The sequence below is a fragment of the Homo sapiens genome, chromosome 22, assembly GCF_000001405.40.
Source record: "Homo sapiens chromosome 22, GRCh38.p14 Primary Assembly".
NCBI lineage: Eukaryota > Metazoa > Chordata > Mammalia > Primates > Hominidae > Homo > Homo sapiens.
In genome coordinates this window covers 19,367,628-19,391,038 of record NC_000022.11, presented here as the reverse complement: position 1 = coordinate 19,391,038, position 23,411 = coordinate 19,367,628, and the positions used below count along the sequence as shown (strand labels likewise).

General features: G+C 45.7%; 1 protein-coding gene across 1 annotated transcript in view; it reads left to right on the top strand.

The window, feature by feature from the left end:
- HIRA (histone cell cycle regulator) overlaps positions 1 to 23,411 on the top strand; it is a 101,036-nt gene that overhangs the window by 40,695 nt on the left and 36,930 nt on the right. The window contains exons 10-15 of the mRNA NM_003325.4: positions 2,485 to 2,555; positions 3,223 to 3,328; positions 5,303 to 5,518; positions 7,334 to 7,419; positions 12,973 to 13,170; positions 15,247 to 15,408. Of these exons, the coding sequence (NP_003316.3) occupies positions 2,485 to 2,555; positions 3,223 to 3,328; positions 5,303 to 5,518; positions 7,334 to 7,419; positions 12,973 to 13,170; positions 15,247 to 15,408 (839 nt within the window). The remainder of the gene's footprint in view (positions 1 to 2,484; positions 2,556 to 3,222; positions 3,329 to 5,302; positions 5,519 to 7,333; positions 7,420 to 12,972; positions 13,171 to 15,246; positions 15,409 to 23,411) is intronic.

Sequence of the window (23,411 nt, the reverse complement as noted above, 5' to 3'; positions counted from 1 at the left end):
TATAAGTCTTTATGTGGATGTACGTTTTCATTTATGAGTACATACCTATGAGTAGAGTTCTAAAATTAAAAAAAAAAACAAAAAAATAGTACCAAGTGTCAGCAAGGACATGATAAGCTGGAACTGATACATTGCTGACACGTGTTGCTGACAGGTGTTTACGCTGGCATGAGCACTTGGGAAAACTGTCTGGCAGTTTCTACCACAGCTAAGCATATGACCTAGAGCACTTCCACTCCTAGGCATACAACCAAGACAGATAAGTGCTTATGTCCACAGAAAAAGACACACAGAAAGCTGACGCCTCTATTAGTCCATTTCACCCCTGGGTGATGCTGTGATGGGTAAGGTTGTGAGCCTAGTACTCCTCACTCGCTGGATCCCCTGAGATGAGGCGATGTCTTCAGCTTCTTTTTTTTTTTTTTTTTTTTTTTTTTGAGACAGAGTCTCCCTCTATTGCCCAGCAGGCTGGAGTGCAGTGGTGCAATCTTGGCTTCTTGAGTCACTGCAACCTCTGCCTCCTGGGTTCGAGCGAGATTCTCCTGCCTCAGCCTCCTGAATAGCTGGGATTACAGGCCACCACACCCGGTTAATTTTTTTGTAATTTTAGTAAAGATGGGGTTTCACCATGTTGTCCAGGCTGGTCACAAACTCCTGACCTCAGGTGATCCGCCCGCCTTGGCCTCCCAAAGTACTGGGATTACAGGTGTGAGCCACCACACCCAGCCCGATGTGTCTTCAGTTTCATTGTTCCCCTCACCTTCCTAACTCAGTGCCCTCTACAGAGCAGGTTCTCAGCAGATATACTCAATGGTAGTTGGCGAGTGAGAACCCAAGGGTAAGAACTGTGGCGGTTTCTAAGTGAGGGCTCCTGAAGGGTTAAGTTTCTCACTGCCAGGGGCTGGTGTGCTGTGACCTGACTGTGTGGTAAGAGACACCTCCGCATGCAGTGCAGGGAGCAGTCTTGGTGCTGAGCATCAAGGTGCCAATATATTTAAAGTTTGATAAAGCAAAGTGCACACACATTAATTTTTTTTTTTTTTCATTTTGTAAAAAAGTGTCCCTATAAGCAGAGCAAGTTGGAAGTTCTGGGTTTGAAGGTTATCCTCTGGCTGCATTTATTAGTTTGGTATAGAGAAATATATTACTGTGTGCGTTGTGATTTTTTTTTTTTTTTTTAGGCCAAGTATTCACTTAACACCCATTCTGGAACCTGAACCACAGTACCACAGATTGCCGTTCAGGGGACCTTCCCTGTTTCCTCCCAGCCAGAGGCCCTGTTTGTGGCGCTGCAACCAAAACATCACTGACTGTGATGCCCATATTTCTTAGAATGCTCAGGTTAGGCAGTCACACGGCCTGTAGATTTCTGAGGGGTCTGTAGGCACATTTATGAGAGGAGGGACAAGGCAGCTTTTTCTAGAAGTGGAATTAAGGTGGAGGCGAGATTCTTAATGTGGGTTCCAGATCGTTCAGACTTCAGCCCCCTCTCCACCACTAGGGTAGACACAGCTTCTCCTTCCCCACATAGCAGTCTCAGGCTGCACTGGGACGCTCAGCCCCACAGCCTCCCAGAAGCTGCAGCAGCACCTATGGGAGCCCACCATCCCGTGAGGAAGTGTGTTTCTTCCCTGCCCATTGTCCTGCAGTTCAGGGCCAGCCAGCAGGGTAGCCAGGCACTTGTGCACAAGTGGAAAGGCCTACCATAGTTGTGGGAACGTGGAGTCAGAGTGTATGCCAGCAATTGAGTGACTCGATAGAGAATATGCACAGTGCATGCTATGCAGTCATCCAGAAGAGACTTTTACAGGATATTTAATGACATACTTATTGTGTGTTAAATGAAAAAACAGACACAACTATGAAGAATAAAATAAATTCTTACTTTGAAGAATAAAATAAATATTTGCACAAAATAGAAGATAATAATTCATCAAAGTATTAATAGTCGGTAACTAGGCCCAGATTAAGGGCCCAGGTGTGTATTTCTGTACTACCTACACATAGTGTAGAATGAGCCTTGGATAAATGTGTACCAGAGTCCCTTGGGCCCAGGGAAGATGTGTTGTGTTCTCTCTCAGGGTGCCTCATCCCCTGTCTAGGCTTTGGCATCGTGTCTCCTGCTCCATAGACCCTCTCAGAGGTCCACCCTGGGGCTGTCCCTCTCCTCCGACCATAGCCCTTCAGAAACCCACTCCCACTCTGCCTTCTCTGTTGCTAGTTATCTGTGTATAAAGCTATTTCCCCTGTCAGACCACAGCAAGCCCTGGAGGCAGGGTCCACTCTAGGTAGCATGCACATTTTTGGCAGGCTTTGGTTCCCACAGTTTGGGATCTCTGCAGCTGCAGTTTGAATAGAGTTGAAGATGCCTTAAATATCAGCAGCCACTTTGACCCAGGCTTCTAGGTTGGTTATGTTAACTGAGCTGAATACAGAAGGGGATTTCAGTAATTTCATTAACCTTGACTGTGTCTTTCCTTCCAGCTCACATGTCTGAAACGGCCGCTGGTGGTCATCCATGAACTGTTTGACAAATCCATCATGGATATTTCCTGGTAAGGTGGATTCTACTTACAGGAATAGGTTAAGAAAGGAGAAGCCACACATTGGAACATGAGGCCTTCTGGGTGTGACTAGGGTCAGGTGGCCAGTGGCCCCTCCCCAGGTGTCATAGTAGCGCAGACCAAGAGTGCTGTTTGCACGTGATTTGGGAACTGGCAGCGGTGTACCTGCTGCTGCGAGAATGTCCTGCCTGTGTAGAATTTGCCACTGGAAAATGCCTTTTCAGGATTTGTCTAAGACGAGGAGAATGACGTGATCCTAGTATGTTCCACTTTACTCCGTCAGTGCATGAACCAAAGTCAGAAGCACACTTTCTGCTTCTCAGTGACCTGATTTATATGTATACTTTGTCAAGTTTTTTTTATTTTAATAGTTTCAAAAGTAAGATAAGTAAAATTGAAAATTCTTACAGAACATATGGTAAAGGAGATATTTTGTACACCTGCTTAGAGCTAAAGAACACCAGGGCCCTTTGGGATACAATTGTCGCCCCCTCCCCCCCCCGCCCAGGCCAAAGAAGGGAACCAGGCCACAGAAGGGAACCAGGAGTTTCCAGCATCTCCCTAGAACACTGCCCACCATCCTCACAGGCCAGCTACTGCGGCACATGTGTCTGCCTGGGGCTCTTGCTACCAGGCTGCTGATGGCCATGTCTTTCAGGACTCTGAATGGGCTGGGCATCTTGGTATGCTCTATGGACGGCTCTGTGGCATTCCTCGACTTCTCCCAGGATGAGCTTGGCGATCCCCTGAGCGAGGAGGAGAAGGTAGGCTGACGGCTCTTGTGCTGCTGGGTGCTCTGTGGCCATTGCCACAATAGCTCTGAGAGACCCCTTTGACTACACCCTCTTCTTGTGAGATACACAGACAAGTCATTTCTTAACATGTAATGGGGTATTCATCTTTTATATCTTGTAATCCTTCTTTACAAAATAGATTAATTAAAAAACGAGTCCCCATTTCAGAAATAAGTCCTGGAGTTAAGAGTAGAACTATTTTAGGCATCTCTTTTTGAGCTGATAATAGGCCATCCACTGGGAGGTTTTTGCCCTGGGAAAGAGCTGAAGTGACTCCTCAGGGGCCCCTGCTCATGTCACTTTCACCTTCATGGTAGTAATATTGGTCATTTCTTAGAACGCATTGTCTGCCAGGCTCTGGGAATGTGTTTTGCACATATGATTTCATTTAAATTGCACAAAACCCTTCAAGGCAAGGCTCATCCATTTCGTGGATATGGAAACTAAGCCTCAGAAAATAGCATGGCTCTTTGCCCAGACTGTATGTGACCCTTAGGTCAGAAGAGTGAACAAGGCCTGCTGCCTCTGGGCCAGGCTGCCTCCCCTCTGTGCTCTGCTGGGGTGATGGGGTCTCTCTGCCCTTCTGCCAGGCTTTGAGAAAAGCCCTGCTTCACCTACCAGAGGCTTAGAAACCTGCCCCCACTTGGTGGGTTGTGTGTATGTGTCTGAAGGGAGCTCTGTGAAAGCCCAGAGCAGGCTGGCAGCTCTCCTCATGACCTTATTTGCTGGTGGAAGCTTCCTCTTAACCTACAGTGTGACCTCCCCACTAAAATGTGAACCCCTTTGGGGGAGAGGTCTGCCTTAATGACTACACTTAGAATGGGGCCTGCCACCCCATCATTTTTCCATGAAGGAATGAGTATCTCAGAGGCCTCAGGTCCTCCTCCAACCTTGTCACTGTCATCAGGTACCTGGGATCACTATGCACTCCCTTGGAGTCACTCTGGGAGCCTAATAACCCATCTGCTTACCATTTCCCAAGTCAGGCTGGGACTCCATGTTGGAGGAACACTAGGGAAACCCTGGCCAAACACTGAATTCTGCTTCGAGATTCCAGGGGATAGACTCAGGAGAGAAGGGCAGGAGCCAAGATGGCAAGAAAAGGAGGTTCCTGGCCACATTCAAGCCCTGCAGGAGCAGGTCCCAAGGCACCTCTCTTGGAACGCTGCCTCTCAACCCATGCTCTGCTGTAAAGCAGATGTCCTGTTAACCACAGTCCCTGTTCTTGAGCAGAATCCCACATTGGACATTTGCACATCCCATGGAAGTGTGTTCCTCATGCACTTTCATGTACAGCAGTCACTACAGTGTGCTGGGGACACCATCTCTGCTCTCATGAGGCTCCTGTCTAGCTTGTTAGGGCACAAGACTATGAGGGCCTAGAAGGAGGGGAGTATGATGACATACTAGGAGGGGTGGGAGTAAAGGAGGCTCCCCAGCCCTGCTGTGCCAGGCCTTCCCATACTCTTAGAGACACTAAGCAGGCCAATGGGGACTTCCAACCACAGGGCTTATGGCTGCAGATGAGCTGTGAAAGTAGACTTTTGTTCTAGGATCTGATTCCCAAAATCATTTGGGTCCTAGGAGTGATTTAAGAGCCTTAAGTTAGCACCTTGAGTATCTTCCTTTCCACTGAAGCACTGTGGATTGTCATTTGTTCTCCACCAGACTGTGGGGCAGGTGTTGTCTTGTTGGCTGTCTCATTTACTGTCATCCCAGCTACAGATACAAGGGAGGCCATAAAAATCAAGGGTGGGCATGAGACATCAACAGAGCTGTCGAATGAGGGACAGGCAGAATAGGATGGGAGGCGATGGGGAGTTGGCCTTGGGTCCCTTCTCCACTCAGAGCCAGGAGAGCCCTGCTGTAGTTTGCCTGCTGGTGGGCAGCACTGGCCACACTGGCACTCATGCTGGCATGTCATGCCTCTCCTTGCTTCCCCAGAGCCGCATTCACCAGTCCACCTATGGCAAGAGCCTAGCCATCATGACCGAGGCCCAGCTCTCCACAGCCGTCATTGAGAACCCTGAGATGCTCAAGTACCAGCGAAGGCAGCAGCAGCAGCAGCTGGACCAGAAGAGTGCTGCGACCAGGGAGATGGGCTCAGCCACCTCAGTCGCAGGCGTTGTCAACGGGGAGAGTCTTGAAGATATCAGGAAGGTGAGAGCCCTGCCTGGTGGCGCTAAAGACATGGACATATGCCCAGGGACAGGGTGAGGGGCAGACACCAGTGGTGGTAAGGAAGGGGTTTGTTTAGAGTGGTACGGGATCTGTGGGTTAGCCAGCCTCGGGCCTGTTGGCCCCTTGCCCACTGCTGCATGATGCAGTAATGGGGCCTGGATCCTCTTTATCAAAGGCCTCCTTATCCCCAGGAGCCCAGAGGAGGTCATCTCTTGTAAGAACTTACGAATTTTATCCTTCTGGTCTTTCTAAAAATCCTAGATGCTAACAACAGTGGATTTCAGGCTCTGCCCTTAGGAGACTTCTATGGGCTCCCCCTTCTTCATCTGGAAGCCATGTTTGATGGGAAGGGGTTGGAAATGGGGCGGGAAAAGGGTAGGGAACGTTATTGCCTGGGGAGTATAAACCATCTCCAGGAGCCTGTGTAGGCTGACAAACCTCCTCCAGGCAATTCAGATATAAAGTATGAGAGAAAACCCCTAGTTACAAGCTTTCTGTGGAAGGAAGGATTCTATTTTGAAAGTCAGTTTGAAAATCTCTACCTCAGGCCAGGCGCAGTGGCTCACCCCTGTAATCCCAGCACTTTGGGAGGCTGAGGCAGGCGGATCACTTGAGGTCAGGAGTTCCGACCAGCCTGGCCAACATGGTGAAACCTTGTCTCTACTTAAAAAAAAAAAAAATAGCCGGGTATGGTGGTGCATGCCTATAATCCCAGCTACATGGGAGGCTGAGCAGGAGAATTGCTTAAACCCGGGAAGCAGATATTGCAGTGTGCCGAGACTGCGCCACTGCACTCCAGCCTGGGAGACAGAGTGAGATTCTGTCTCAAAAAAAAAAAAGAAAGAAAGAAAATCCCTAGCTTAGTGACAGATGTGTGGTTCACGGGTACAGAGCTCAGTCCTTTAGCCCTTTCATTGGTCCCATGGCTGTTGTGCGAGGCGGCCAGTGTGGCATGTACCCACTGCTTGTTCTTTGCTTGGGTGTCTTATTTAGTTGTACCAGGAGGGCAATTTAGAATACATTTCCTTAGAAGCCTTATTATTTTTAAACCTACCGTGTTGAAGTACAATTGACATATAAAAAGTTATACATACTTAGTGTGTACAAATTAATGATAAGCCAGACACAGAAGGACAAATACCGCATGATATCTCTCTTTTTTTTTTTTTTTTTTTTTGAGATGGAGTCTCGCTCTGTCACCAGGCTGGAGTGCAGTGGCGCAATCTTGGCTCACTGCAACCTCCGACTCCCTGGTTCAGGCGATTCTCCTGCCTCAGCCTCAGCCTCCTGAGTAGCTGGGATTACAGTTACACACCACCACGCCCAGCTAATTTTTGTATTTTTAGTAGAGACGGGGTTTCACCATGTTGGCCAGAATGGTCTCGATCTCCTGACCTTGTGATCTGTCCACCTCGGCCTCCCCAAAGTGCTGGGATTACAGGCGTGAGCCACCGTGCCTGGCCTGCCTGATACCTCTTATATGAGGAATCTAAAATAGTCAAACTCACAGAGACAGAGAATAGAATGGTGAATACTGGGGTCAGAGGAAAATGGGAGTTATTAGCCAAAGGGTATAAAGTTTAAGTTATAGAAGATGAATAAGTCCTAGAAATCTCCCCTACAGCATAGTGCCTACAGTTCACAATATGATATTGCATACTTAAAACTTTGCTAAGAGGGTGGATCTTATGCTTAGTGTTCTTATCACCAGGAAAAAAAGAGACTTTATTTTTTAATATTTGGAAATAGTTGGCCAAAACTTTTGCATTCATTTATGTAACTCTGCTTTGCCAGAATCTTTTGAAGAAACAAGTTGAGACTCGGACAGCAGATGGCCGGAGAAGAATCACGCCTCTCTGCATAGCACAGCTGGACACTGGGTACTGGTTCATTCCCCTTTCATGGTCTTATCTGGCGAGATCTTCCTGTCTTCTTTCAGCGGTTAACACTTTCACAGTGAGGATCTTCACGGGTCCTTCACAACCTGACTGGTAGAACATGGAAGCAAGGAAGTGAAGCTCAGCTTCCCGCAGTCTCAAAGCCCATACTCCTCCTGGAGCCCTTGTGCACACCTGAATCATGTGAGGGGTGGGAGTGCTAAGGCGGCCAGCACATCTGCTGCACTTCACTGTTGCCAGGGCACCAGAGGACGCACAAGGAAAGCAGTCAGTCAGGCTGATTTTTTTTTTCTTTTTTTTCTTTCATAAAGTTATTTTTATGATTATGAAAGGTATATTTACACATGGTTAAATTTAGAAAATAGTAAAAGCCCAAAGAAGAAAAAAACATTATCCATAATCAGATACAGTCACTGTTAATGTTTTTATATCTGTATTTCCAGTCTTTTTTTTCCCCACTCGTTACTGTTTCATGCCCATTCATCCATTTTAATAACTAGTCCTCTGAGGTGTTTGCTATCTGATTATCCAGATTCCCATCCTAGGATTTGCTTAGCCAGCTCACTGTAGACTTGTGTTTGTGTCCAGTTTCTCGTGATTATAAATGAGTCTTTGAGCTCACCTGTGGTTGTTCTCTCAGGATAACTTCTAGAAGTGGAATTACTGGGCAGAGAGTAGGGCTCCCAAACATATTTCCCTGTGGGGGACAGAGAAGGGGGAAGAGACTCATTCACCACTTGCTGTTGTCCCAGTGTATATAGTGAAGATTGTTTTTGAATTGGTTATTCTTCCCAAAATGATGTGTGTTGATTCAAAAAAAAAAAAAAAAAGAAAGAAAAATGATAAAGCACTGTGTGAAAGAAATAGACCCCCACTGTCAAGGCAGTTCACTCTGGGTTTTATTCTCATTCCGTCTATCTGCTCAGGGCATTTGTAAGCCCTTCATGGAGGCCACACACTTTAGGCCTCTGCGTTTTGCAGTTGTCCATCCACGAGCTATTCCAAATCTTCCTTGGTGTCTAAAGAAACCTTCACTCGTACAGTGTACAGATCCAGTCTCCTCATGTTAGATGTGCAGGCTCTGAGGTCCCCACGAGTAGAGCAAGAACCAGGTCTGCTGGCTCCCCACAGAGCACTCATTTTCTTTTGACTAAGTCTTTTTCCTATTGTGACCCTGTAGGGGGTAATGCCCCTACCTACCTTTTATTGAGACCAAGTGAGACCCAGTGTGTGGTTGAGCTCTGAACATACTGGGCCTGTGGGATGGGGAGGTGGTGGTGGTGATGGTGACACTTTGTTCTGTGGATCCTTCCAGGCGTTACCTGGTGAGAAGGTGTAGGTGGCTTCCTAACTGGTCTGGGGCCAACTTTCTGACATAGGATGCATATTTCTAGCATCAGGACCTGATCCTTTTGGTATTAAAAGCTTTTTGCCCTCCTGATTCCCACGTTCTAACACGTAGCAACAGGATAGGTCCTTATTAGCTTAGCTAATCAAGAAAGAAGAGAAAAAGCATAAATATACAAAGTAGGTATAAGTGAGAAATAATAGACAAATCAAAAAGATGAGAGACTTCTTTGCTGAACTCTGTGCAAATAAATTTGCACAGAAAGTGGATGGTTTTTGAAGAAAATAAAATTACTAAAAGTGAAAAATTATTGTGGAAGAAATAGAGGACAGAGTTAACCCCACCAAAGCCACCGGACTAAGATGGCTTCACAGGGAAACTTCAGGAACTTTTAAGGAACAGGTAACTCAGGTAACTGTTAATACCATTTTAAATATTCTAGTGCATGGAGAAGAAATGTGCAAATTTTTATTTTGAAATGAACATAATATATCAAAATCTTACAAGGATAAAACATAATAAATTCAAGATCATTCTCATTTCTGAATGTCAGTGCAAAATCCTAAGTAAAATAGTAACAAACAGAACCTTACTGCTTGTTAAAAGGCTAATATACCATGACCAAGTGAGGTTTGTTTTGGGAAAGTAAGGAGGTTCAAATTTTAGGTAACTATTTAATTCTACGTATCAGTAGATCAAAAGAAAAAAAATTATATGATCTCTCATCGATGCTTAATAGGCGTTTTGGTAAAATTCAACGTTGTTTTAAAACTCAGTTAAATGGGAATAGGTGGATGCTTCCTTAACTTGATAAATTATCTTATTTCAAATTAAGTTCAAAAACTAAACAAATGCCTACTCTTGCAACTATAATTTAACATTGTTCTATAGGTCCTAGCCCATGTAGTTAGTCAAAGGAAAGAACAAATTGGAAAGGATAATTATTTAAGGATGATATGGTTTATAAGAGAATCAACTGGAAAAGCTGCCATAGGCAATGAAAGAAGATAGTCACATGGCAGGATACAATCAACATGAAGTCAGGTAGCACCAACTACCCTCAGAGCACATAAAGAAATAAGTCATATTCACAAATAAAATAACTAGGATGCAACCAGAGATGCATATCTTAATGAAGAAAAAATTAAAAACCCTACTGAGAGGCTTCAAAGAAAACTCAAAGAAATAACTAGAAATTCATACCATTGATTAGCTAGGATGGCATCATAAAGATGTCAGCTCTCTTGTAGCCTATAAATTTAACCAGTACAAATAACCGTAGGAATTTTGGGAATCAGACAAGGTAACTATAAAGTTATGTGGAAAAATCGACTGGGCACAGTGGCTGACAACTGTAATCTCAGCACTTTGGGAGGCCGAGGCAGGCAGATCACCTGAGGTCACGAGTTTGAGACCAGCCTGGCCAACATGGTGAAACCCCGTCCCTACTAAAAATATAAAAATTAGCTGGGAGTGGTGGTGCCCACCTGTAGCTACTGTAGCTACTACCTGTATCCCAGATACTTGGAGGCTGAGGCAGGAGAATTGCTTGAACCTGGGAGGTTGCAGTGAGCCAAGATAGTGCCACTCTCCAGCCTGGGTGACAGAGTGAGACTTTGTATCAAATAAATAAATAAATAAAATAAAGTTATCTGGAAAAATAAATAGGAATGGCCGAAATATTTCTGAAAAAGAAGATTAGCCAGGGAAGACTAGCCCCACCAGAAATTAAGACTTAAAAGCTGTCATAACTCAAAACAGTGAGATACTGACACATGAGTAGATAGTGCAGTGGAATATGATAGAATATGAGGAAACAGGCCCGAATATTTATGGGAATTTTAAAGGTAGCATTTCACATCAGTGATAAAACATTGGCTAATTCGGTAAATGGAAGACAGGACTACATGGCACCTCCTAGAAACAATGTTGGGTCCCAGCCTCATAACTTATCATTACATACATTCTAAACAGCTTATAGTTTGTTTCTTTTTAAATTGTTATTTAAAATATTTTTGTTTAAAATTTTAGAAGATTCCCTGGAAGAATATTTTTTATAATCTCAGAGGTCAAAAAAGTGTTTTCTGTAAATGACAATTTAGAGTACACAAAAATTTTAAAATTTTAGTGCATTTAAAAGATAGGCTGTCTGGGCGTGGTGGCTCACACCTGTAATCCCAGCACTTTCGGAGGCTGAGGCAGATGGATACAAGGTCAAGAGATCAAGACCATCCTGGCCAACATGGTGAAACCCCGTCTCTACTAAAAAATATAAAAATTAGCTGGGCGTGGTGGCACGCCCCTGTAGTCCCAGCTACTTGGAAGGCTGAGGCAGGAAAGTCACTTGAACCCAGGAGGCAGAGGTTGCAGTGAGCCGAGATTGCGCCACTGCACTCCAGCCTGGCGACACAGCGAGACTTCGTCTCAAAAAAAAAGGCCATAAATAGTTGAAACACAACATCCCAGGTAAAATATTTCCTACCATATAAGGAATTTTTTTAATATGTAAATGATTTTTACAAATCAGTAATAAAGACCAATAACAAAACAGTAGACAAAGCATATGAACAAGCAGTTCACAAAAAAAAAAAAAAAGAAATCAAGTATTTCTTTTTTTTTTTTTTTAATTGAGGCGAAGTCTCACTCTGTTGCCCAGGCTGGAGTACAGTGGTGTGATCTCAACTCACTGCAGCCTCTGCCTCCCTGGTTCAAGAGATTCTCCTGCCTCAGCCTCCCAAGTAGCTGGGATTACAGGCGCCTACCACCATGCCCGGCTAATTTTTGTATTTTTAGTGGAGACGGGGTTTCACCATGTTGGCCAGGCTGGTCTCGAACTCTTGACCTCGTGATCCACCCGCCTCGGCCTGCCAAAGTGCTGGGATTACAGGCATGAGCCACTGCGCCTGGCCGGAAATCAAGTATTTCTACTTTGAAAAACTGCCGGCCGGGCACGGTGGCTCACACCTGTAATCCCAGCACTTTGGGAAGCCAAGGCGGGCGGATCACGAGGTCAGGAGATCGAGACCATCCTGGCTAACACGGTTAAACCCCGTCTCTACTAAAAATACAAAAAATTAGCCGGGCATGGTGGCGGGATACTCGGGAGGCTGAGGCAGGAGAATGGCGTGAACCCGGGAGGCGGAGCTTGCAGTGAGGCGAGATCGCGCCACTGCACTCCAGCCTGGGCGGCGGGAGAGACTCTGTCTCAAAAAAAAAAAAGAAAAAGAAAAAATGTCAACGTCACTCATATCAAAATAAGATACCATTTTTCTTCTGTCAGATTGTTAAGTGTCAAGAAATTTGATAAAAGTGTTACTAAGCACCTATGTGGAGAAATAGGCGCTCTCATACATGGCTTGTAATTTAAACCTCTGAGGAGGGCACTTTAGAAATATTTATTCCAAATCATCAGTGAACATTTCATTTGCTGCTACAATTCCACTTCTAAGAATTTATCCCATATATTATGTGAATCTTAGGTGTAATGACAATTATTAGAATTTCATAATTCTTTGAGCAGCCAATGTGTGTTCTAAGAGTGTCCTACACCAACTGCTTTAGTCCTGACAGCAACCCCATGGGGAGAGTCCTGGCACTTTGTATTTTGCAGACATGACTGGAGGCACAAGAGTAGTTAGAGCAAGTCACAAGCTAACAAATGGCAGAGGAGTCAGACCTGGCTGTCCCAGAATCCTCAGTTCTGACACTGCAATACCTTGCTTCCTGGTGCAGCAGCATCTGTTCTAGAAAAAGCTGGAGACAGTCTTGTGGTCCCTCAGTAGAGGCTGGGTTAGGTATATTATGGCACACCCATCTAGTGGCATGCCCCATGGCCCTTCATGAAAGGGAGGCCCTTTCTGTATTGCTGCATTTCATTCCTCCTAAGACATGTGTTTGCACAGTTTAACACCTCTGAGATTTGGGTGTGTTGTACAGTCAATGGCATCTGACAATTAGTAGCATTGTTTTCTTTCTTAGTAGTACATATAGAACCTGTAAATCCTAGATTCAATTAAATATAGTATATTAAGTGGCTTTAATTTTCTTTTTACTTTTCTGTAACTTTGCAGATTTTCTATCATGAAAACATACTGCCTTTGGACCTAGAAAAAAGTTATTTGAATGTATAAAGTACTGGATGTGGCACCTGACTTTCAAGGCTGACTTTTGTTCTTACTTGATGACAGGGACTTCTCCACGGCATTCTTTAACAGCATCCCCCTCTCGGGCTCCCTGGCGGGCACCATGCTCTCTTCTCATAGCAGTCCACAGCTACTGCCACTGGACTCCAGTACCCCTAACTCCTTCGGCGCCTCGAAGCCTTGCACAGAGCCTGTGGTGGCTGCCAGTGCCAGACCTGCAGGCGATTCTGTCAATAAAGACAGGTTAGTGGGTGCCAAGGCTTGTTCCTGTCCCTGGGGAAAGTTCAGGTTTGCACATAGTTTTGAGGACAGAGAATTTTATTCTGTTTGCACTTTGTGGCCCCTTCAATCAAAAAAGAAAGAAAAAAATGCGTGATTTGAAATGGGGACTTCTCAGAGGGGAGGACTTGTTCAGTGAGTCTCTGATGCACAGGACTGTTGAGGATTTCACAGAGTGTATCAAGGCTGACCGAGGGTCAGGCTGCTAAGGGTGGGAACTACCAGTGAAATGCTACGTGCTGCAGGGTCAGCCCCACCTGGCAGCTCTACACTGGAGGTGCTTCACATTTCTGGGGCCTCAGCTTCCACTTCACTCTGCTGAGCACATCACACAGCATTCATCTTAGGCAGGGTTCTCCTGTGGGAGGGCACAGACTCCCCTTATACTCTCAGAATTATATTCACTCACAGAGCCTGTGTCCTCACCCATTGTTACTTGGAAACCAAATTAGAAATCAGAAAGAACCAGGCAAGCACAAATGAAAGCCAGGAGTGAACGTTTGCTCAGCACCTGCTCTGGGTTATACACCCTGCTAGGCCCCAGGCATCGCAGGGGCTTAATGGGTGGGTCCTCATCCTCAGGGAGTGTGTAGGCTGGTGGGGGAGAGGTAGCCACAGGGTTGCAGGTGGCCCCTCAGGTCCCCTGGATAGAAATGGCTAGCCATCCAAAGAGGGGCTGGTATCTCAGGGATCAGGGAGGTGCCTCAGAGGGTACCCTCCACAGGACTCATACAGGCCTACCAGGGGATGAGGCCTGGGGATTAGGGGCAGCAGCCCCCCAGTCCCCTGAGGAAGGCCAAGAAGAGGGAGAAGGCCAAGGTGTCTGTGCTGGATCAGGTAGTCTGGGCTTTTCCCCAGAGTGGAGACGTAGAAGGCTTTGAGATCTCCATTTTAGGAAAGTGACTCTGTTAGGCGGTGGTGCCCCAAATAGGCCACTCCCTGGCACATACAGCTGATACCGTCAGAGCGATTCTCCATTGGTGGAATGGAGTCTTGTGTTACTGCAGCCCCCTGCTTCTGGGATACAGCTGATACCGTCAGAGCAATTCTCCATTGGTGGAATGGAGTCTTATGTTACTTCAGCCTCCTACTTCTGGGTGCTAGCACCATGGCTGTGAAGGCATGCCCAAACATTAGGTCACTGCCCTGGGGGGACCCTGAGAGGGTAGGAAGAGAAGACTGAGCAGCAAGACCAGTGAGGAAGCAAAGCATGCCAGGACGAAGGGAGCCTGGGAAGGACAGACCATGCCAGATCTGAGAACTCTGTGGGGATGGCCCATTCTAGTGGCCACAGATCATGGAGGAGAAGAATGGGGCTGTCCAGGGTGACTACCAGGCATGTGGTGTGGTGTCTGGGCAGATAGGAGTGGAAGGTGTTAGCCTGGGTGTGCTTAGGAGGAGGTCCAGTGGCCATGGTCCCAAAGCGTGTGGTGTGGGCTTGGACATGAAGGATGGACCAGGCAGGCTTCTGCCTGGCCTCTCCTTTCTCTGTGGAATAGAAGATGAAAGTTGTGTGATGAGCACTTGGAGCATAATGCTAAGAATGTGACACTGTCACAGGGAGATATGGGAGGGGCCGCTCAGGATGGAGGATGCCTGACTAAGGGTAAAAGCAGACCATGGCTTCAGGACCCCAGGTGCAGGCTTATCTCATGAGACTCATTGTCAAAGTGGGAAAGGTGAGTGGCTGGAGTGGTTTGGGGTAGAGGTGCTGTATTTAAGTTGTGGAGATAGGGCAGTGTGACTAGAGAAAAGGGTTGTAAGAACCATGTTCTAGGCCTCATTCTACCCGCAAAAGCTCTCAGAACAGTGCAAAGGGGGAAATGTGAATGCATTTGCTCACAACCTTCTAGGTGTCCATAATTTTGACACATGAAAATTTTAAAGAAATGGGAGTAGTAGATTGTATCTTGACATTTTTTGTGTTTATGGAAGTTTGATATTTGTGCCTTTTTTAGTAGGCTCCAAATAATGCAAATACTAGACCTCCAGATCCTTTCAGGATTGCGCTTGACATGCCTCCCCTCTTCTTCACCCCAGTATGAATGCTACCTCTACTCCTGCTGCATTGTCACCTTCTGTGTTAACGACCCCGTCCAAGATCGAACCCATGAAAGCGTTTGACTCCCGGTTCACAGAGCGGTCCAAAGCCACACCAGGTGCTCCTGCCCTGACCAGCATGACTCCGACAGCTGTGGAAAGGTAGGTGGTAGCTGCAGGACCCTGAAGGACCAGGCAGGGTGCAGGCATGGGTCAACAGCACAGTGGCAGTGTTCCCACCAAGCAACCTGCCTTCCTGTTGGGGAAAAGACTCTAGCCACTCAATACATGGGAGCAAGACTGCAGAGCCCTTAGTGAGCCACCAGGAGAAAGAGGTGGTTCCTTGAAGTGGGAAGGTGGCTGGAAGGAGTCATGGGGGAGGACGCGGCAAAAGAACCACAAGGTCAAAGGCACAAGGATTGGTCAGTGCAGAGGCTGAACTGAGAATAATGGTGTTTGGATGGAGCCCAGAGTTTGCACGGAAGAGAGCATGAGATTAGTTGGAGAGGTGGAAGACTCTGATATTGATACATCATGGAAGTGACGGCCTTCCACTCAGAAACTGACCAGAGGTAGAGAGCTGCAATAAAAATGATGTAAGTGAGGTCTTTGTCAAGTCAGATTGGCTTCTGAGCTCTTGTGGACACTATGCTGCTTATCCATTCTCTGGGTCTCCCCTCAAACACAGCTGTGACATCACGCAGGTTGTAGTTCTTTATTTCTTGGAGTTTTGCAGTAGTGCATCCTCCTGAGGTGGCCAGAGCGAATGTCTGCAGCCTCTGCCATTGGCACTGAAGTTCTCTGCCTCCTGAGAGGGCCCCTCCCTCCAAGCCTAGCTTGACAAGGAGCTAAGTTCACATCCCAGTGAGTCAGAGCCTAGGAGAGGAGAGGCAGATGTGGGCTGGACTTTGGGGGCTTAAGAGCTGTCCCTTAAGAGTTGCACCCCACTGCGAGGTTTATAGGGCTCAGCAGCCCTGGGCAGACACACCCTAGCCTGTGCCACCATCAGCCAAGTACAAGGACACTGGTCAGAAACTTGCAGTAGCCACACAGCCAGCAGGTGCCCAATGAAAGGAGCATTTGTATGTGACCTGTCCTTGCAGTAGATGGTGATTTGGAGCTAAAGCCACAGCATGCTACCTCTGGGGCTTTGCTTATGAAAAGCCCTGTCCAGAACTGCATGTCTGGACAGGATTTATTCTCCTTGGAAAACAGTTCCTGGAAGCTAGCATGGGAGGACCCTTTCTGCAAGTTTGATGCTGTATCTATAAACTTGGTGTGGAATCTTGTAGTCTGCTCTGTAATCTAATCATGCTTGTTTCATAATTAACTCAATGCAGGCCACATGCGATAGCTCATGCCTGTAATCCCAAATGCTTTGGGAGGCCAAGACAGGAGGATCGCTTGAGGCCAGGAGTTTGAGACCAGCCTGGGCAACATAGTGAGACCCGTATCTCTACCAGAAAAATTATCCAGGTGTTGTGGCTTATGTCTATTGTCCTAGCCACTCTGCTCACTGCAACCTCCGCCTCCCAGGTTTGATTGATTCCCCTGCTTCAGCCTCCCAAGTAGCTGGGATTACTGGCGCCTGCCACAACACCTGGCTAATTTTTGGTAATTTTAGTAGAGATGGGGTTTCACCATGTTGGCCACGCTGGTCTCAAACTCCTGACCTCAGGTGATCCACCCGCCTCAGCCTCCTAAAGTGCTGGGATTACAGGCGTGAGCCACCGCGCGCGGTCTCCATGCTTCTAAATACTTTGAAATGCTGGATTAAATGCAACCCTCGTCCCTAAAATGAATAACTAGTTCACAGGAAAGAGCAGTACCCAGAGTCTAAAATCTAAGAGTGAACAAAAAAGCCAGAGCAGTGAGCAGAACTGCACCATGGGTGCAAGGCTAGGGGTCTTGACTGAGGACCTTGAGTTTTAATGACCACATCGACTTGAGACAAGGCCTGGGGTCTAAGCCATGTAGGAGTTGGAATTAAGTCACCAGCATAAAGTCAAGCTGCTTAAAAAAGGACTGAGGCAGACCTGGGAAAACCCAACTGACAGCACAAGAACTAGCAGAGAAGTTGGAATGTCTCAGCCTGTTTTTGGGTTGGGATAACAGTCTTCCCTTGAGACTGTGTAACCACAGGTCTGCCCTCATGTGGATTCAGGGCCAGTTTAATACTACTTGTGTTGTATAGAAATCGCCAAGCCGAGAAATGAACACAAACGAAATCCTGGTCTAATTGACGTTCAGAGGCACTTGGCAGAGATGCGTATCCACCATGCAGTGACATTCCTTGGGCCAGGGTGTACAGCATTACCACTGATAAAGCACTGTTTAGATGATCATAAAATCCACAGTCACAAGAAGAAAGAGCCTGTCATGCACAAATGTCAGGAGACATACTTACTGGGAGACTTAGGTTTCTATAAACCTGTGATCATAGAATTGTCAGATGGCACTATAAAATATGCTTAAGTCTTGAAAGACATGAAAGCTAAAACAAAATTGGAACAAATTTTGAAAGACATGAAAGCTAAAACAAAATTGGAACAAAAGCTAAAACAAAATGAGGAAAGATTAATACTGTATTCTATAAACAAAAATTAACTCAAAAGGGAACAAAGAACTAAATGTAAGAGCAAAAACTATAAAACTCTTAGAAGAAAATATAGATAGAAATCTATGTGACCTTGGATTAGGCAACTGTTTCTTAGATATGACACCTAATGCACAAACAACTAAAGGAAGGAATCGATAAATTGGACTTCATCAAAATTTAAAACTTTTGGCTGGACACAATGGCTCATGCTTATAATCTTAGCACTTTGGAAGCCCGAGACAGAAGGCCCAGTAATTCAGACCAGCCTGAGCAACATGGCAAGACCTCATCTTTACAAAACCATGTTAAAAATTAAAAGCTTGGCCAGGCACGGTGGCTCACGCCTGTAATCCTAGCACTTTGGGAGGCTGAGGTGGGTGGATCACCTGAGGTCAGGAGTTCAAGACCAGCCTGGCCAACATGGCGAAACCCCATCTCTACTAAAAATACAAAAATGAGCCAGGCATGGTGGCAGGCGCCTATAATCCCAGCTACTCAGTAGGCTGAGACAAGAGAATCACTTAAACTCGGGGGACAGAGGTTGCAGTGAGCAGAGATCACGCCACTTCACTCCAGCCTGGGCAAAAGAGCAAAACTCCATCTCAAAAAAAAAAAAAAAAAATTAAAAGCTTTTTTGCTTCCAAAGCACTATCAGAATTGAAAGACAACCTACAGAATGGGAGAAAATATTTGCAAATCCCATCTAATTAAAGTCCAGAATTTAAATTATATAAATAACTTTTACAATTCAACAATAAAAAGACGAATAACACAGCTTAAAAATGAGCAAAAGATCTGAAGAGAAACTGCAGAGAATATATACAAAGCACAGGTACATAAAAATTCAATCAACATCATTAGCCATCAGGGAAATACAAAGCAAAACTTCAATGAAATACTTCATACCCATTTGGAGGTCTGTAATTAAAAGATCAGATAGTCAGATAATAAGTGTTGGTCCTATAAACCTGTGATCATAGAATTGTCAGATGGCACTATAAAGTATGCTTAAGTCTTGAAGGACATGAAAGCTAAAACAAAATGTGAGGAAAGATTAATACTCTATTCTGTAAACAAAAATTAGCTCTAAAGGGAACCCTCATATACATGCTGGTAGGAATGTAAAGTCTTTTAGCACCTTTGGAAAACAGTCTGGAAGTTCCTCAAATGGTAAAATATAGAGTTATCATCTGACCTAGCAGTTCCCACACCTAGATACATACCCAGGAGAATTGAAAACATATATCCATGCAATAACTCATACATGAATGTTCACATCTGTACATAATAACCAAAAAGTGGAAATAGCCCAAAAGTCCATCAGGTGATGAATAAACAAAATATGGTTTACCCATACAATAGAATATTATTCAACAATAAAGAGGAATGGAATGCTTACATGTGCTACAATAACGATAAACCTTAAAGACATTATGCTAAGAGAAAGAAGCCAGTCACAAAGGATCATAGGTTGTATGATTCCATTGATAGGAAATGTCCAGAATGGAAAATCCATAAAGAAAGTAGAGTAACAGTGGTTGCCAGGGTCTGAGGGAGGGAGGATAAGGAGTGAGTACCAATGGGTACAGAGTTTGTTTTTGGAATTATGAAAATGTTCTGGCATTAGATAGTGATGATGGTTGCTTAACCTTATGAATATGCTAAAAGCTAATGATTCTATACTTTAAAGTGGCGAAGTTTATGATATATATATCTCAATAAAAATTAAAAGAATAATACACTATCAAAAAAAAACCAGATTTGGAAATGAACCAAAAAAAATACTTTTAGAAAAGAAAAATAATAATCATTGCAGTTTAAAAGTCAACAAGCATTTCAGAGAGCAGATCAGAACCAGCTGAAAAGAACATTCAGTCTACAAAATTGGCCAGAGTGGCACAGAGGTGAGGAGGTGGAGCTGAAGACAGGGCAATAGAGAGGAGTCCCCCCAGGAGGATGTGCTGCGGGGTAGTTGTCAAGAGGGAGTTAAGAGGCTTACCAGAAGGTGAAGAAACCTCAGATTTTGAAATGGAGCAAGTTCTGAACAAAATAAATAAAATGAATTCCCCACCTGAGAGAAACTACAGTGTGCCACAGACAGTCCTGCTTATTGAGGAAGACACTCATGTTTGCTTTGTGGCTTTCTGTGGCCCTTATCTCTCATGTAGTGCATACCCTGAATGAGAAGCCAGGAGGATAGCCCTTAGATTGGCTTCTGGAGACAGAATCTTGACTGTATATCCTGGGTCCTGGTGCCACAAGGGTTGGTTCCTCAGCAGCTATGTCCACAGGGTCTCACAAGACCGTCCAGCCATAAATACAGCTGTAGCAAGATCTGTATAATAAGGGGCCACCATCACATTTGTCATCCTCAGTTTCTCACTTGAAAGTGGCAGTGAGTGAGCATTCACTTGGGGCTGAGCTTCCTGCTTTCCAGCCAGAATGAGTATAGTGAGCTTCTAGGAGCCTGGTGCTGAATTCTCAGGTTGGGTTGGATCCTTATATGAGGAAAATGAAATAAAACAAGTCCCAGTATCTTTAACAAAGGCCTTACAGAAAATGCAGATACTTTCTTGATGTGGCTGTTTTCTTGTATTGATTCTCAATGAAAACCAGGAGGAGCCCTTTAAAACACCCATCACTGGAGGCCTGGTGCAGTGGCTCATGCCTGTAGTCAATCCTAGCATTCTGGGAGGCCGAGGCAGGTGGATCACTTGAGTCCGGGAGTTTGAGACCAGCTTGGTCATCATGGTGAAACCCCATCTCTGCTGAAAATACAAAAATTAGCTGGGCATGGTGGTGCGTGCCTGTAGTCCCAGCTACTCAGGAGGCTGAGGCAGCAGAATTCCTTAAACGCAGGAAGCAGAGGTTGCAGTAAGCAGAAATCACTCCACTGCAGCCTGGGCAACAGAGTGAGACCCTGTCTCAAAACAAGAATAAAAACAAAACAGGCCAGGCGTGGTGGCTCATGCCTGTAATTTGGGAGGCCGAGGTGGGCAGATCACCTGAGGTTAGGAGTTGGAGACCAGCCTGGCCAACATGGTGAAACCCCGTCTCTACTATAAAAATACAAAAATTAGCCAAGTGTAGTGGCGAGAGGCTGAGGCAGGAGAATCGCTTGAACCCAGGAGGCAGAGATTGCAGTGAGCCGAGATTGTACCATTGCACTCCAGCCTGAACAAGACTTGTCTCAAAAAACAAAAACAAAACGAAACAAGAAAACACCCATCAGTGGAGATTTTCTTTGTTTGTTTGTTTGTTTTTTGAGACAGAGTCTCGCTGTGTCGCCCAGGCTGGAGTGCAGTGGCGCAGTCTTGGCTTACTGCAACCTCTGTCTCCCAGGCTCAAGCAATTCTGCCTCAGCCTCCCTAGTAGCTGGGATTACAGGTGTATGCCATGACGCCCGGCTAATTTTTGTATTTTTAGTACAGATGGGGTTTCACCATGTTGGCCAGGCTGGTCTTGAACTCCTGACCTCAAGTGATGCGCCCACCTCGGCCTCCCAGTGTTGGGATTACAGGTGTGAGCCACCGCACCTGGCCTTCAGTGGAGATTTTCTTTGAGGCACAGTGTCATGCAGTGGTTAGGGGTGGTGCGCAAAGTAATACACCTTGCAAGTTAGGCCCAGGTCCCCCACTTCCTCAGAGAGGGAGGAGGGATAATCTTGAGACACATGGTCTTTCTGAGTCCATCTCCTCTCAGGCAGAATGGACCTCCCAGGAAAACTCTCCTCATAGGAGGTATCCCTTAACCTTAGGCCTGTAAAGCCGTATCTTGGTCCTTGCCTCACGGTGAGCAGCACATGTCAGCTCCTGCTGTTGTTCCTTCATTGTGCGTCACAGTGGTTGGGCAGTGAGACCCCTGCAACCTGACTGGCACTTCCTAGCCAAGAGCCTCAGGTGGATTGGGAGCCAAATGCTAGCATCCCAGGTACAGGGTAGCAGCCCTGGGTGAAACTGTGGGTCTTCTGCTCCACCCTCTCCTAAGGCCAGGTGTCAGGCAGAAGCACGTAGGGACCTGAGGTAAGTGACTACAGGGCAAGTAGGCCTGAGCAGACAGAACCTAGGATGGAGCCCATTTGTAAGGGGGGCAGCCCTGGCCAGCTGTGCTCTTGCTTCACAGATGTCTAGACCCATTGGGCAACTGCTGTAGATCGATTTACCTGGTGCTCCCAGGGATATTGTAACAACTGATACAAGCCCACATGCAGGCTGGGGAGGTGCAGTTCCCAGTGGGCCACTGGCCCCAGAGTCCCTGAATGGGGCATCTGGCAGAGGCAGGAGGTGGGGAGACTCCTAAGGGCTCTCAGGGGTCCCAACCAGAGAGGGTGGAGCAGCTGGAGCTCGGCAGTGCCAAGCAAGTGTATGTCATGGGCCAGTGCTGTGGTGAGCTCAGGAAGCCACCGCCCGCCTTAGAAACTTAGATGATAGTTGGACGTTGCTGTGACATTCTCGCTGTATTTTACAAAACGATAGTTACATAAAAGTCTGACTTTTTTTCCATGTTTCACAATAGGATTCTCTCATTTTAATACATGAAACCCTTTCAGATCAGTCTGAACCAGGAAAATTCATGTTAGAAAAAATTAGAACAAGCTAATATTCCATTTCCATATTCAGAACATCTGAGAGAAAGCATTTTTGACTGTTCCAAAAGCTTATTTAACAAAAAATTTAATATGAAAATGTACATGATCTGATTTTTACAACATAGTAAAACAAGCTCTTTGAAGAGGCAAATGTCTGACATTTAAAAAAAAAAAAATTTTTAAAGGATTTTGAGGAGCACTGACTCAGGACTTCCAGAATATTAAGCTACACCCACAGATGGATGCTTTGCCCTGTTGTAGGACATTAGAAGAAAGGGGAACAGACACTTCAGTTTCACAGAGCAGCGTCATGGGCCTCTTGTCTTCCCAGTTTTTCACATGGATACAAATGAAAAGAATCCAGGATTCTACACGCTGGTGTGTGTATCTGCCCACATTTCTTTGACCCAGGTGACTAGCAGGGAAAACAGCTGAAGACAGTGCCCAGAGGAGGGGCTAACAGGCCAGAGGCTGGTTAGCAGTGGGAAGGCAGGCAGGGATGAGGGCTCTTGGATACTAGACAGGAGTTCACTCATGGTGAACTCCTTGAGGAAATAAGATCAGTGATAGCACCTGTGATCCAGGGAGTCTGTCATATTTAGAGATGTTTAACACAGCATTATGAGAAACATTTACCAACTTCTTCAAAAGAGAGGTGTTGAGGAAGTAAGCTATTCATTATGTTGTGCCTCTCTTTAATGTTTATAAGGACCAAAGTACAGGCGCCCCTCTGTATCCATGGGTTCCACATCTATGGATTCAGCCAACTATGGATCAAAAATATTTGGGAAAAGAAATTCCACAGAGTTCCAAAAAGCAAAAACTGAATTTGCTACATGCCAAGTACTACTTTGAATCCATGCAAATGAAGTTATTTTTAGGCATTGTACTATGTATACGTGATCTAGAGATTATTTAAAGTATATAGGAGGCTGGCCGGGCTCAGCTCAGTGGCTCATACCTGTAATCTCAGCACTT